General features: G+C 52.8%; 4 annotated features.

Moving 5' to 3' along the window:
• Positions 989-1,626: an enhancer, noted in NCBI's record as "H3K4me1 hESC enhancer chr3:126815371-126816008 (GRCh37/hg19 assembly coordinates)". NCBI's record gives its function as "activates a minimal SCP1, AML or CMV promoter by ChIP-STARR-seq in naive H9 embryonic stem cells {active_cell/tissue: H9 hESC(naive)}" and the evidence as "EXISTENCE:reporter gene assay evidence [ECO:0000049][PMID:30033119]".
• Positions 4,540-5,152: an enhancer, noted in NCBI's record as "H3K4me1 hESC enhancer chr3:126811845-126812457 (GRCh37/hg19 assembly coordinates)". NCBI's record gives its function as "activates a minimal SCP1, AML or CMV promoter by ChIP-STARR-seq in primed H9 embryonic stem cells {active_cell/tissue: H9 hESC(primed)}" and the evidence as "EXISTENCE:reporter gene assay evidence [ECO:0000049][PMID:30033119]".
• Positions 8,645-9,270: an enhancer, noted in NCBI's record as "H3K4me1 hESC enhancer chr3:126807727-126808352 (GRCh37/hg19 assembly coordinates)". NCBI's record gives its function as "activates a minimal SCP1, AML or CMV promoter by ChIP-STARR-seq in naive H9 embryonic stem cells {active_cell/tissue: H9 hESC(naive)}" and the evidence as "EXISTENCE:reporter gene assay evidence [ECO:0000049][PMID:30033119]".
• Positions 9,271-9,897: an enhancer, noted in NCBI's record as "H3K4me1 hESC enhancer chr3:126807100-126807726 (GRCh37/hg19 assembly coordinates)". NCBI's record gives its function as "activates a minimal SCP1, AML or CMV promoter by ChIP-STARR-seq in naive H9 embryonic stem cells {active_cell/tissue: H9 hESC(naive)}" and the evidence as "EXISTENCE:reporter gene assay evidence [ECO:0000049][PMID:30033119]".

The raw sequence follows: 13,512 nt of genomic DNA, 5'->3' as shown, positions 1-13,512 counted from the left end.
GGAGCTGCCCTTAGCCCTCTAGACCACTCAGCTGGCAACTGCAGACCAGTGAGGCACCTAGCCCTATGCCACATGAAACAGGAGAATTTCTCAACTGTACCTATCCCAATTCCTAGCCTAGGATATTGTTGTTTTAAGACTGAGTTTTCAGAGAATATGTTACTCAGCAATAGATAACCAGCTTGTGTCTTTTCCTCTTTTATATCTCATATGATGAGCTAGACATAGAGAAAGAAATGCACCAGGGGAAGTTACCCTGAGCCATGGTGAGATTCTACAGTGACGGGAGAGTGGTTTAACCTGTGCTGCACTTGTCCTTGATCCAGTGTCTGTTTGGACAGCCTGGCCCCTTTGAACAGGCAAAGACAGGCACACCCAAGCCAGCCTCTTGTGGGGCTAATGGCAGGCAGCTCACACTCCCATGAAGATGCCACCCTCTCGGAGCCATGAAGGTGTCTAATGCAGCCTCCACCTGGGCCAGCTACCCTGGTGCTGGGGGCACTAGGGCCAAGGGGAGGCCACAGACCACCTGCAGGTCCCCACTCTGGCTGTGCAGGTGAGGCTCCACCTTAGTACAGCCCTCACTGTGATGGAATTCCCTGAGAACCGGGAAGACAGATGGCACTATGAAGAGCTGTCACAAGGCCATTTTTCACCCTCCTCCCAGTTCCAGCCACGCCAGGGTCTTTCTTGGTCCTCCTCCTCCAGATGCAGCAGCGAACAACAGGACTGCTTGCCTGTAGTTAAGGACCCACCACTGTGTCATCTGGCCCAGTGTCGTGCTGGAGGACCAGGGGGTTGCAGGGGCTAACACCAGGCTGATCTTGCCTTTGCCATCTGTGTAACAGACTGAATCATGTGGGCTCGCTGTGTCCTTGCTGGTTGAGCCTATGGAAGTGGACAGGCTCCCCTCACAGCTGCCACTGCTGAGCTCATGAACTGCATGACTGCTTAGCACTCACACCGCCACCACAATCCAACCTTGCAGGGCTGGTCCTGCTGCTCCAGGGGCATCTGGTCTGTGCCTCTGCACACGCTGAGCCCTTTGCTTGGAACACTCATCTTCTGATTGCACTTGCAGGTCAACTGCATACTTTCTTGGCTACCCTGGGAGGCTTCCTGCAGCCACCGGCTGGTCAGGGATTCCCTTCCACACACACCCCGTTTGTGACCTCTCACTCTGACGTGGAGAAGTGTGTGTATCAAGTCCATCTGGAGTTGTCAGCTGTGAAAAGGCAACAGTAGCCCATCCAGCTAGCAGAGAAGGAGCCTGCAGGGGGAGGCTTGCAGCAGCAAATGTGGGCCTCATCTACCTCCTGCCTGCAGAGAACCTCGAGCCCAGACCAGGGCTGTGTCCTGGGGGTGGGAGACAGGGAGTGATGGGGGAGGCTGGAACAGCAGTGTTCAGAGTTGGGGGATGACAGCTTCTGCTGCTGACGGTCACAGTAGAGGGCATGGCTCCTCGAGCTTCTGAGCCTTCCCCAAACCCTGCTTACCTGCAGAGAGGGCATGCCTAGTGTCCACGCCTGGCTGGGCCTGCAGTGTCCCCTGCTGAGAAAGACGGGCCCCCTCATGGAGATGCAGCAGTGCCTTGAGGGCAGGCACACGATCCAGTTCCTGATGTGCCCAGAAGCACTAAGCAGACTTCGCAAGAGCTCCATGGGTTCTGATGCAGGGCAGGAACGAGACCAGATCTGGGATCAGACAGTCCCAGTGCAGTCCCAGCTCAGCCACTTCCAGCCATGACCTTGGGCTGGCACTCAACCTCCACAGGCCCCTCTCTTCTCTCTGATCAGGCACAGATTGTAACAGGGACCTTTCAGAGTAATTGTGATGAATAAAGAATGCAAAATGTGTGGAAGCAGCCAATTGGAGGCCTTAGAAATGCCAGATACTTAAAAATATCCATGGTTACTATCACAAAAAGACAAATTAAAAAAACATTTCTTGGGCCAGGCAGGGTGGCTCACACTTGTAATCCCAGCACTTTGGGAGGCTAAGGCGGGAGGATCGCTTGAGTCCAGGAGGTCAAAATCAGCCTGGGCAACACAGTGAGCAAGGGCTTGGGTGTAGTTGGTTTTTTGGGAAACTATCCAGGAAACGTAAGTAAGGGAGGGGGAGTGAAATGCAGAGGAAAGCAGGCAGCACAGAGTTTGCTCTGAGCAAGCAACCACTGTGGGCGGCCAAGGTCCATCCTACTGGGGCCTCTACAAGCCTTGGAGCACATGCCCAGATCCCCTGCCATGGCAACAGACCCTCACATATACAGTCCAGTACTCCTCAGCAAGGCTGCCCAGACTTCTCAATGGAGAAAGGACAACCCTTTCAACAAATGGTGCTGGGAAAACTGGATCTCCCAAAGCAAAAGAATACATTTGGGCCCTTACCTCACACCATATACAAAAATTTACATTTTTGTATACATATACAAAAAAAAATACATTTGGGCCCTTACCTCACACCATATACAAAAATAGATGGGAGACATAAACGTAAGAGCTAAAATTGTAAAACTCTTGGAAGAAAACACTGGGGAAAATCTTCATGACATTGGCTTTGGCAATGATTTCTTAGATATGACACCAAAAGTACAGGCTACAAAAGCAAAAATTGATAAACTGGACTACATTAAGTTTTAAAAGTTCTGTGCATCGAAGAACACAATCAACAGAGTGAGAAGGAAACCAGCAGAATGGAAGAAAATATTTGCAAATCATATATCTGACAAGGGGTTAATATCTAGAATATATAAAGAACTCCTACAACTCAATAGCAACAACACACACAAGCAATTCAAAAATGGGCAAGGGATTCGAACAGATGTTTCCCCAAAGAAGATATACAAATGGCCAAAAAGCACATGAAGACATGCTCAATATGACTAATCATTGAAGAACTACAAATCAAAACCATAATAAAACACCACTTCATACCCATTAGGATAGTTGCTATCAAAAAAGCAGAAAATAACAGATGTTGATGAGAATATGGAGACATAGGAACCCCTGTGCACTGTTGGTGGGAATGTCAAATGGTGCAACCACTATGGAAACAGTACAGTGGTTCCTCAAAAAATATAATTACTATTTGACCCAGAAACTCCATTTTGGGGTGTGTGATCAAAAGAATTGAAAACAGGGATTCAGGCCGGGCCTGGTGGCTCATGCCTGTACTCCCAGCACTTTGGGAGGCCGAGGTGACTGGATTATTTGAAGTCAGGAGTTTGAGACCAGCCTGGCAAACATGGTGAAACCCTGTCTCTACTAAAAATACAAAAATTAGCTGGGTGGTAGTGGCATGCACCCCTAATCCCAGCTACTCGGGAAGCTGAGGCAGGAGAAACACTTGAGCCTTGAGCCTGGGAGGCGGAGGTTGTGGTCAGCTGAGATCACACCACTGAACTCTAGCCTGGGCAATAGCAGAGTGAGACACTGTCTCAAAAAAAAAAAAAAGAAAGAAAGAAAGAAAGAAAAAGAAAAGAAAACAGGGATTCAATCAGATATTTGTACACAATATAAAAGCAGTATTTTTCATAATCATATTTTCACAATGGCCAAAAGTGTTGATGGATGACTGAATTTATTTTTTCAAGTGTGGTGTATACACACAATAAACTGACTCAGCCTTATAACGAAAGGAAATCCTGACCCCTGCTACTGCATGGGTGAACCTTGAGGATATTATGCTGGGTGAAATAAGACAGCCACGGGAGGACCAACACTGTATGATCCCACTTACATGGGGTACTAGAGTGGTCAAATTCATAGAGACACAAAGTAGATTGGGGGGTGTCAGGGGCTAGGGCAGGGGGATGGGGAAATTGTTTAATGGGGACAGAGGTTCAGTTTTACATGATAAAAAGAATTATGGGCCAGGTACAGTGGCTCATGCCTATAATCCCAACACTCTGGGAGGCCAGGGTGGGCAGATCACTTGAGGCCAGGAGTTCAAGCCTGACCAACACGGAGAAACCCTGTCTCTACCAAAAAACACAAAAATTAACCAAGCGCGGTGGCGCACACTTGTAATTTCAGCTTCTTGGGAGGCTGAGGTGGGAGAATTGTTTCAACCGGGGAGGCAGAGGCTGTAGTGAGCCAAGATCATGCCACTGCACTTCGGCCCGGGTGTCACAGCGTAAGACCCTGTCTCAAAAGAAAAGAATTCTGGAGTTGGGTTGCACAACAGTGATTATGTACTTAACGCTACCAAACATAACAATGGTTAAGATGAAAAATATTATATGTATTTTGCCACAATCAAAATTTTAAAATAGTCATTAGATAGTATATCCTTAATGACATATAACTTAAGGATAAAAAGAACTGTGCAAAATAAAATAAAAACAGTATAAACACTTTTTTTAAAAAAAGAAGTGCCCCCTGTGAGGCTACAGGACAGAGAAACTGGGGTCTTTATCCACCAGCTCTGTTCTTCATGGACCGAGGACTGTTCCCAGGGCCCTCCATCCATGAACTTCCAGGCTGCCCTGTCCCCAGGCGGCTGAGCCCCTCTAGCAGGTGCTCAAAGGGGTGAGCAGTCAGTGTGCACGTGTACAGGACATGCACCCCAGCCCGGGGCCTCGCAGAGGTGGCTGAGGACACACAGTGGGCATTCTCAGGGCCTACCCACCCACTTGGCGCTCTGCCCACTCATTCAGTCCTCACAAGAGGCCACTGTGGATCTCTCCAATGTACAGATGAGGAGCGTCACTCAGAGAGGTTGAGTGACTTGCCCAAGGTTGCACAGTTAAGAAGCCACAGACACGCACCCAGGTGGTGGCTCCGAGTCTGTTCTCTTAGCTTCCACGCTGTGCTGCTCCCATGGATGAAGACCCACCAATGCTGGCTTCTGGCATCGTTTGGCCACAGTCTCATTGCACAGCTGCCCTACACCCGACCCATGTGGCTCACAGACATCCCAGAGATGAAAAGGAAGCGGAGTACCCCCAGGAAGGCCAGTTTTCTACAAAGGACAACTCCAGGGCATGTGTCTTGCTGTCTGGGGTCGATGGATCAGAGAACAGCCCAGCAACTGTGGCCCCCACCAGCCAGAGTGTGGCCCACTGCCCTATCGATTCTGCGAGGCCACAGACCCCTCACCCCTGCAGAGGGTCAGCTGGTAATCACGTGGCAGCTGCACCAGCCAGTGGGAGGCGGACAGCAGGGCCTCCTCTCGGCAGCTCTTGGTCTTTAATTAAAGCATGCCCAGCCTGGGGTGTGGCCGGCAGGAGGCAGGAGGTCAGTGCAGAGGAGGCTACGGGCCAGGCTGCAATTAAATCTTTCTCCTGCTGTCCCTCCAGGCAGGCCACAGAGCAGCCTTCCCGTCTGCTGCATTGGGCAGTGGCGTGAGGGACAGGGAGGGGCTGCTCCGTGTCATTCACTCCCACCCATGGGGGCTGAGCTACTGTGCCCCAGTCCCTAGGGGATGTCCATGGAACTGGACAGGGTATTTCTTGAGGGTAGGGCAGGTGAAGGTCTGGGGGTCTGGGAGGAGGCCTTCAGAGATGGGGTCTTCCCACTCCCTGTGCAACCAGAGCCCAAACTAAGGCGGGGATGGACTTTGCCCTCAGACTTCGGGGTTGGCCACAGTTAAGGAGGCGAGAGGCCATCCCAGTGGAAGGTCGGCTTGGGAGGCTAGGGCCTTTAGGTTAGGGGGCAGGGGACCCCAGTCCTCTGCCTCACCCTGGGGTGTTCAGGGTGGGGTTGCCATAGTGCCTGCAGGCTCCTCAGGTGAGAGGGCTCTCAGCTGCAGCCTCCACTCTTACCCCCTTAGCCAGGAGGGAGCAGGTCATTGTGGCCTCCTTAGCTGCTCCCCACACGAGGCTGGCTGACCTACTTTAGGCCCCAGCCACAGCAAAATCATGGTCTGGTAGCCCCTCCTCAGATGACACAAAGCTTCATTTCTTCATTTAGTCCTGAGAAAACCAGGCTTGGAACCCAGATTTCTGTTCAGTTCATTCTGCTCTCTCTCTCTCTCTCCCCCTCTGTTTCTCTCGCACCCTGCCAGCCTCAGGGCCTTTGCATGTGCTGTGCCTCTGGCTGGAGTCCGTTCCCTGACACTCTGCCTTTGATTGCTGCTGAAATAGCCCCTCCTTAGGTCAATCTTCCTTGACTGCCCCTCCCCAAGATGAGGTGACGGCTCCCTTACTAAGCTCCCACAGTACCAGGGACCACTCCTTCCAGCTCTCTCTCATAATCATGATAGTAAACATAATAGACGCTTACTGCATATGAGGCATTGGTTTAAGTCCATTATGAGGATCATCTAACAGATTAATGCCTCACAATGACCCTATGAGGAAGGTAACCTTGTGGTAGCAGATGGTAGTAGAGCCCATCTGGGGTCCACCCTACACCCGACACCCACAGGAAACTGCTTGGAGCAGCAAACAGTAGAAGGCTCAGAAGGACACTGAGCATCTCCCAAACCAAGGTCCTAAAAGGACGGTGTGGCGCCCTCCTGCCTCCTGTGGCGCCCTCCCGCCTTGCTGTCTTCCTCTCTCCCTGGGGACCTTCACCCTGGGAACCCAGCCACCCTATCACAAGGGGGCCCAGGTCATGGAGACACCACATGCAGGTGTTCCAGCTAAAAGCCCCCTCTGGCCCAGCACAGCTGCCAGCCATGCGTGCATGCAAGCCTTCACATGGCTCTGCCCTCAGCCCACAAACCCCCGCCTTCAGGTCTCCCAGCTGAGGCCCCAGACATCACAGAGCAGAGACAAGCCATCCTCACCTTGCCCTGTCTGAATTCCCGACCACGGGAAACAGGAGAAATGTTTGGAGGTGAATTTCCCACAGTGGTCTGTCACGGCTGGTTAATGTCCCCACTTAATACGAGAGGAAACAGAGACACGGACAGGGTAGGCAACTGGCCGAGGTGACACAGCCAGTGGGGTGGATTAGCCTTTGTTCATCATTTTCATTCCCCCTCCATGAGTGTAGTGTCCTCCCCACCCCAGTGATGTGGAGCTCACCGGTGTGACCTGCACTGGCCACTGGAACATGGTCAGAGGTGGAAGGTGTGAGTTCTAAGCTGAGGCTTTAAGAGGCACCTTCAGGGAACATCCAAAATCTGCCATGAGGATTGCCCAGAGAGCTGTCAGTCCAAGGAGCAGGAAGGATGGGCCACCCAGCCAGGGCCCGAGGTGAGGGTAAATGCCAACTATGAGGCCTGGCGCTTGGGGCAGCTGTGACACAGCATTACTGTATAACTGATGCTGCAACTGGCCCCCGTGCTGTGGCTGTGACTATAGCCAGGGCCAGTTGGCCTCAGAGCCTATCTCGGAACCATTAACCCACATCTCAGGTTTGCAGGTATGCTCTCTGTCCCCTGTCGTAACACGGATGAGCTGTCTCCAGGCACCCTTCTGGAATCCTAGAACCAGAACATCCAGGAGCAAGGTGATCTGGGTTTACACCGTGAAGTTTGCTATATGGTAATAGTGACCCGAGCGGACTGGGTATGGCCCTCAGTCAGATACAAGAGGCCCTTGAGAAGGTGGCCCCCAGCCCTGGGCACTCACCCAGCCTCCTGCCGTGCCCTGTGACCTAGATCCTGTGGGAGCAGCCCTCCCTGGGGGCCCAGTGCAGGGACAGAGCTGGGCTGGCCCTGGGTGGAGAGAGGAGAGGGCAGTTACTTGCATCTCCCTTCTTCCTCCCTGGGGGGCCTAGGGTGAGCAGATCTGCCAGGGCCTCTGCAGGCAATAGCCCCGAAAAATACATAGAACTCCCCAACCAGGGGACAGGGCCAAACTCAGCTCCCTGTGGCATTTGACACAGTCTCCTGAGAGGGAGGAGGGCACCAATGAGGGCCACCTTCAGGGTTCAGCTGGGGGACAGAGGAGAGACCCCCTCCTGCAGCCGTCCCTGTGTGGACAGCCCCCACCTGAAACTCTCATAGATTCCATTTCACCGATGAGGACGCTGCAGCCCAGAGAGGTGTATGATGCACCAGGGTCACTTGGCTGGAAATGAGGAGCTGGAATCATGGCCCTGGTCTGACAGAGTCCTGAGCTGGGCTCTCTGTCCCACCCCTCCTGGCATTGGCCTCTGGTAACACCATAAAGGCACCTTAAAGAGGAGCCAGCCATCTGTGAGACTGGACCCAGCCTCAGCCCTCCTCCACACCCTCGCCTCCCGGCCCCTTCCTCCCTGCCCCCAGTCATCACCTTCACAGCTGCTGTGCCCACTGCACAGCTCTCTCCCTGTAGCCTGCAAACATGTCTTTCAACACCAGCCCAGGTGTCCCCTCCTCCAGGGAGCCCTCTTGGCTCTGCAGCCTGAGCCAGGTGCTTCCTCCAGCGTCCCCCAGACCCGGGCTTCTTTCTTTTACAGCAAGGACCCGATGCCCCTCTGAATTCTAATTATTTGTACACACGTGTGTCTCCTCCAACCCCACCACCCTGGGAGTTCCTTGAGGGCAGGCATAGAACTTTGTGTTCACCTCTGTGTCCTCAGCCCAGCCTGGAGCTTGGAACAGAACAGACAACAGAAAGAATGAGTCAGAGGTCCCAGTGGACCACTGGCCAGATGCTGCCTGCAGGCCTTGGCAGAAATGAAGCCCCATCACAGATGTAGACTGTAGGACCTCCAGAGGCGTAATTAAGATTTTAGAGTGAGACAGAAACACAGGGGCTTCTCTGGTGTCATTAATCAATGTAAATGATGCCACTAACACGCAAAGGATGGTGACAGGATGTCAAGGTCAGGTATTGGTCAAGGGACCTGTGGACAGAGGGTGGGGCAGGCAGGAGCTGGGGACCCAGGTTCCAGAGGGATGCAAGAGAGAACCTTGCTGGTCCCCTCCAGGCTGGGGAGGGGTGGCCTGCCAGCTGCCTGCCAGCCTGGAGTCCCAGGCACGAGCTCACGTCCCCCAGGCCCATGCCTTGTCCCCCAACCCTCCCTTCACCGCGGGGTCAGTGTGAGCACTCTGCCAGGCTCCAGGACACTCAGAGCAGTGGCCTGAGGACGTCTGCTCCTCTCCGCACACAGGCAACATGCTGAGCCTGTGGCAGGGAGTGAGTTCAGAGGCCACCCCCACTGCCCTTCTAGGAAGTGTGCCTTTCATTTCCTGAGATCGCCCCAGGCCAATTTCAGCCTAGGCATTGGGTGTGGGGTCAGGAAAGAGGAGAAGCCTGTGAGGTATTTGTCCCCACCTCATCCAGAAGCCAGCCCACTCCATTCAGGAAAAGTGCTATCAGGTGAGGGCCCAGAGGCCCCAGGGGCCAGGCGGGAGGCCAGCCTGCAGGTCCCTCGCCCACAAGGAGGCGGCCCTCCCTAACCTAGTGAGCGTCCCAGTAGCCAAGTCCGGCCAGGTGGCTCTGACAGTTTAGGAGAAACTAGAAATCAAGATTCTTATGTGAAATACACAGATGTTCAAATGTTACCCCAGAAATGAGAGACAAAACGTGTGGGAGGGGACAGCAATGCCGGGCCTACCGCCAGGGCTCGGGAAGAAGGGATGCGCAGGAGTTGGGGGCCCCCAGGGCACACACAGCAGCAGTGACCCCTCCTGGGAGAGGTGGACTCCAGACCAGGAGGGCACAGGCCCAGGCGGCTGCATGGCAGGGTGCCTGCGTCACCTCACTTAATCCGAACAACCTCTCTCTGTGGTGAGTGCACCAGGTCCCCTTTCACAGTGAGAAAACTAAGGCACAAGGAGGTGAAGTCACTGGCACAGAGGCACACAGTGGCCTTGGTAAAGCCAGGCTTGAACCCCAGATCCCAGGGACTGGACGCCTGGCAAATTTTCCTAAATACAGTGGTTCCCCCTCATCTGGCTAGCACCAAACCCCACATCCACTACACTTACATTTCTGTGGCAAGGTTTCATTTCTGAATTAGGCACAGTAAGAGATGAATAACAACAGCCAATAATAAAACAGATCAATCATGACAATATGGCATAATCACGCCAATGTGGCCTCTCTCTGTCTCCAAATATCTTCTTGAACTACCCTTACCTATTTTTGGATGGTGATTGGCCACGGGTAACTGAAACTGTGGATAAGGAGGAACTACCCCCCGTTATGTGACTCGGGCATAACAGAAAGACAGTGTTTTGTGGGTTTTGTGGTGGATTTTTTTGCATTCTGGAATTGCTATCTTCCAAGCCCCCATTAGAGACACCCCATTTAAAAGGACCCATCAGTGTAGACAAGGAGAAGCCCCAGAAAACTCCCGGCAGACTCTTGGGTCACTGTGAGACCCTCAGCCCCTCTTCCTTGGGATTCATGTGACACTAGGGAGGGAGACCCCAAAAAATGCCTGAAATGGGATTTTCCTTCCACCTCTGGCCAAGCCAGGTTCCATTTGGTTCGTTGAACTGTGCCATGTGTCTGTCCAGTCCTGTGGCATGGCCCACACACTGTGCTTCACTGTCATGGCACCGCAGGAGGGGAGGCTTTGTCATCGTCCCCTCTGCAACTGAGGGAAGCCTGGCCCAGAGGCTCGCTCCAGGCCCAGGGTGCTCCCAGGGGCTGAGCCAGGGTGGAAGGAGTGGCCCCTGTGGTCACAGGCACACCAAGAGGGGAGAGATGGGGCCAGGACCGCAGTCAGGGCAGGTGAGGGCGCAGTGGTCGGAAGGACACGTAAACACAGACCTTGCACCAGGAAGGCTGTGGAAGGTCCAGGCCAGCAGCAAGGGTGGTGTGACCTGCCAGGATTGTGGCGGATACAATTTGCCTGGCCTCAGCTCTTGTACCAAAACACAGAATTTTGGGGGGAGTGGGTACAAAAGTAACTCATAGTCAACATAGGAAATTGGAAAAGTACAGGAAAAAAATACAAAAGAAAGTTGAAATTGTTCATAACAATACCAACCAGAAACACCCTGTTTATGGTTTGGAATATTTCCCACCAACGTGTTTGGGGTTTTTTTTGCTATCAAGATAATACTGTGTATACAACTGTCGAACAGGCTTTACTGCAGGTAAACTCAGTAGCAGCTTCCCCATTGCGATAATAATCGTGAACACCCACTTGTAATAAGCCCACGGTGTCCCAGCCTGGAGCCACTGTGCTGGATTTACTCAGTCTTCCCTTTTACACGGACAGCTATGTTGTCTTATTTTTCACACTCACAAACAACTCACAACAAGAACATAACTGTGAAAAAAGATTTTTCTTTTTTATTGTCTTTTACATTAAAAAAAAAATTGGAATGTGGAAACAATTCAAAGACTACAAAAGGATATATAGAAAAAGTGAGTTTCTCTCCCTCATTCCCACTGTCTTCGTGTCCCAAGGCAGCATCCGGTCCCGGGCACTGTGTCTCCTCTAAGAGGCTTTCCACACACATCTAAACACACACACTCTAACACTCGCTCCGTTTTCCCCACAATCCGCAGCATGCAGCCTGCTGTGTCCACCTCACATACGCACTGGACCTTGTCCTCACTGGGACGTCGAGATGAGTGAGTGGCTACAGAATAGCATGGCTGGTGAGCGCCTGGTGAGCTGACAAACCAGCTCTCCAGAAAAATGCAGAGCTCTGAGCCGTAGCCATTGCCAATGCTCATGGTGTAAATATCGCACCGTGGCTGGGCCAAGCTACCAACAGTCTAACAACTGACTGGTGAATTGTCCAGAATACTTAACACTCATCTCTCAAGAGCCAGAATAAGCTGGCTCTAGCCCAGAAGACAGATCGCCTTTTGTATGGAGGAGTGGGGTAAGAAAACGATCGCCTTAGAACCGATCCCCAGATGTGGAATTTCTAGATTCAAGGGTATAAACATTTTTATTTTTATTTTTATTTTTATTTTTTTTAATTTTATTTGAGACAGGGTCTCACTCTGTCACTCAGACTGGAGTTAAGTGGCTTGATCATGGCTCACTGCAGCCTTGACCTCCTATGCTCAAGCAATCCTCCCGCCTCAGCCTCCTGAGTAGCTGGGACTACAAATGTGCACCACCATACCCAGCCTTAACGTTTTCAAGGCATTGGTAGATTAACCAAATTACCACCAGAAAGGCTGGGCCAATTCACATGCCCACCTGCCAAGGCCAAGCATGCCCATCTGAATACACCTTCACTCATGTTGGGTGTCCTCAGGTTTTTAATCTTTGCTAATGAATGGGAAATACCAGTGTCATCCTGTGACTTTAATTTGCCTGGTGGGGGGTGGCGGTGGTTGGGGAGGCAGTCACACCACTGCTGCTTAGCTAAGAAAAGCCAGCTGCAGGTGGACCCTACCAGCAGCCCCGTCTCTCCAGCCTGGGTGGTGGCTCCTGGTGCAGCAGGGTGCAAGGGTGGGATGCCAAGGTCCAAACAACTTTGACAGCCAGTCCTGTCCTAGAGCCACACACAGGAAAATCAGGGCCCTCGAAGGGTCTCTGGTGGATATTCGAATGCCTGGCCTGCCAGCGCCCAGCACTGCTGGGTTCGCAGTAAGTCTAGTCTACGTACCTGCCCACACTCGAGGGATGTGCACGTATGTGCGTGTTCATGTATGTGTTTAAGGTGGGCCCAGGGAGGCAGCAGAAAGAGTCCTTTCCGGTGTTCCCGGTCTCCAGACTCCCTCTCCCTGCACAGCCCCCATGGGTTTATGAGCTCTGAGGGGAGACCGTTCCGGGAACAGCTATGCATGAGGAAACAGGCTGGGACACAGTGCTGCTGGTGCCTGCTTGGACAAGGCCAGGTCCAGAGCCAGAGTGACCCAGAGTGGCCCTGGGGCCGCCTCATTCTATTTAACCAACACCGGGAAGCACTTACTGTATGCCAAGTACTGTTGGGAGGCTTTTCTAATATTAAATTTCTTAATGTTCCCAACAGTGAGGAAACCAGAGCACAGAGAGGGAAGTAGCTTACCTGAGGACACACAGCCAGCAAGGCAGGACAGATCCAGAATTCAATCTCCAGCCTGACTCCAGAGCCTTTGCTTCTAAATGCCATGGCTTGGACCAAGCACATGGGGGTTGGAGCCCCAGCTGCCCATCTTCTGACATGGCCTGTGTGTCCTGCAAGCCCCTGTGGCTCATCCCAGGCACCCACGCAACACCTCCAGTGGTTCCTGGGAATCAGGAGCTCTGTTTCTCCTTACCCCTGCTTTTCGTGAATTCCCAGTTGGCACATCCCTGTTGGGTTGCCGTGCCTCTTCTGCACAGGATTGCTCAGGTTGTGCACAGCCTGGAGTGCTTGGATGCACGTGGGGTAGGCAGTGGCCACAAAGGAGCTCCAGGCTGGGGGCTGCAATTCCCAGCTCTGGCCCATATCCCAGGCATTGTCCACTGGGCCTGTCAATGTCACAGCCTCTCTAGACACCCTCTGGGGCCCACTGACTTCAGGCCACCCTTCCAGGAGGACCTGAGTTTTGTACTCGAACACAACAGGGTTCACCTCCCGCTCTGGCCTCCCTCCCTGTGTGCCCTGCTCCCTCAGTCAGCTTCCTCCTCTCTGCAGGGGATAACAGGAGCCCTGACTCCCAGGGTGTTACGGGTGGCCCAGCACCCACTGCGCATGGTTGGCTGCTGTTCTGGTTGCCCAGTGGCCAGGTCACATCGGTGGTCACAT

This window comes from Homo sapiens, chromosome 3, assembly GCF_000001405.40.
Source record: "Homo sapiens chromosome 3, GRCh38.p14 Primary Assembly".
Lineage (NCBI taxonomy): Eukaryota > Metazoa > Chordata > Mammalia > Primates > Hominidae > Homo > Homo sapiens.
Note: the sequence above shows the minus strand (reverse complement) of the source record. Positions and strands in the feature narration are given on the sequence as shown.